General features: G+C 41.0%; 1 pseudogene; it reads left to right on the top strand.

The window, feature by feature from the left end:
- PPIAP24 (peptidylprolyl isomerase A pseudogene 24) lies at positions 823-1545 on the top strand (annotated as a pseudogene).

Here is a 2244-nt window from a genome sequence, read left to right as displayed (position 1 = left end):
CCCTACCTACTTGATTTTTCAAGGTAAAATCATCACTTTCGTGTAAGCATAAAATGAACACAGTAAGGATTTTATTTAACTCAATAATATAGGAGGGAAGCAGTAAGATGTTAAAGCCAGTTCAAAAAGAACTTAAAGAATATATATGTAGGCAACCAGTAATGCCAACATAAATTTACCAATAGACACAAGATGAATTAATGTACAATAGGGAAATGAAATGCAGTATTTGGATCATTTTATCTATAAGGTAGGAATCAGCTACATTTCTACTGAACAAAGTTCACTTGCTTTGCTACCAACAAGAATCATTGGCACTAATATCTTAACTTCCACCTCTGAAGACTTTTAAAATGGCCTAGTCCATAGAAAGGCAAGGAAATGTTCACAGTCCTATAAAATCAGTGCCCAGAGAGTTAGCTAGACCTACACTGTTTAATACTATAGCCACTAGTTACATATGGCTATTTCAATTAATTAGGCTGTGCACGGTGGCTCACGCCTGTAATCCCAATACTTTGGAAGGCTGAGGCGGGTGGATTACCTGAGGTCAGGAGTTTGGGACCAGCCTGGCCAACATAGTGAAACCCTGTCTCTACTAAAAATAAGCAAAATTAGCCGGTTATGGTGGCATGTGCCTGTAATCCCAGCTACTCAGGAGGCTGAGGCAGAAGAATTGTTGAACCTGGGAGGCAGAGGTTGCAGTGAGCCGAGATCATGCCACTGCACTCCAGCCTGGGCGACAGAGTGAGACTCTCTCAAAAAAAGTAAAATAAAATAAAGTTAAATTAATTAAAATCAAATAAAATTAAAACTTTAGGCTTTGCAGACACTGCCACCACTGGGCGCCTCATACTGCCAGCCATGGTCAACCCTACTGTGTTCTTCGACATCACCGTCGATGGCGAGCCCTTGGGCAGCGTCTCCTTCGAGCTGTTTGCAGAGAAGTTTCCAAAGACAGAAGAAAACTTTCATCTTCTGAGCACTGGAGAGAAAGGATTTGGTTATAAAAGTTCCTGCTTTCACAGAATTATTCCAGGGTTTATGTGTCGGGGTGATGACTTCACATGCCATAACAGCACTGGTGGCAAGTCCGTCTATGGGGAGAAGTTTGTTGACGAGAACTTCGTCCTGAAGCATACAGATCCTGGCATCTTGTCCAGGGCAAATGCTGGACCCAGTACAAATGGTTCCCAGTTTTTTACCTGCACTGCTAAGACCGAGTGGTTCGGCAAGGTGAAAGAACGCATGATTATTGTGGAGGCCATGGGGCGCTTTGCGGGGAATGGGAAGACCAGCAAGAAGATCGCTGTTGCTGACTGTGGGCTACTCTAATATGTTTGACTTGGGTTTATCTTAACCAGCAGACCATTCTTTCTGTAGCTCCAGAGAGCACCCCTCTACCCCATTTGCTCGCAGTATCCTAGAATCTTCGTACTCTTACTGCAGTTCCCTTTGGGTTCCATGTTGTCCTTATTCCCTTTCATGCCTAGCTGGATTGCAGAGTTAAGTTTATAATTATGAAATACAAACGAAATAACAATTTGTCAAAAAAGAAAATCAGTTCCTCAGTGACAGTAGCCACATTTCAAATGCTCAAAAGCCACTTGTGGCTAGTGGCTACCGTACCTTTCTGAGATTACAGAAAGTTCTACTGAACAGCACTGCATAAATCAATAGCCACTACTCCATTAAAAGGATACCCAGTAACCCCCTCTGCTAATTTCCAAGTCTTTGATTATTTTTCCTGACGAAACAAAATAAGCAATGGCAATAATGATATGGAGTAGGGACTCTGAAGGAATAATAGCTGGTATTTATTGAGTACCAATGATATGTCCGGCATTGTATCAGACAGTTTACCTAAATTACCTAAGTGGGCTTTCACAATTTATGTATATTATCTAATTGAGTCCTCACAATAACTTGGCCCCATTTATTAGTTTAGGAGAGGCTCAAAGGGATTAAAGTAATTTGAGGCTTCATAATCTAGACATTATTTAATGAAGCCTCACAGTAACTATACTTATTAGTTGGTGACTCAGATACTCAAAGAGATTTAAATACTTTGCTCAAAACCATACAACTATTAAGGGGCTGAACTAGTATTTGATCTCACATAGGGTGCAGATAACAAGTATAACTAATAAAAATACACCTAAGGAAACTGACCTACCCAGGTGGACTTAAGCCACTTTTTATAGAGTATAGCATGGTGGCCTGGCTACTGCAGGAGAATGTGAG

This window comes from Homo sapiens, chromosome 13 (genome assembly GCF_000001405.40).
Source record: "Homo sapiens chromosome 13, GRCh38.p14 Primary Assembly".
Taxonomy (NCBI): domain Eukaryota; kingdom Metazoa; phylum Chordata; class Mammalia; order Primates; family Hominidae; genus Homo; species Homo sapiens.
The sequence above is the reverse complement of the archived record's forward strand: the minus strand, read 5'-3'. Positions and strand labels throughout refer to the sequence as shown.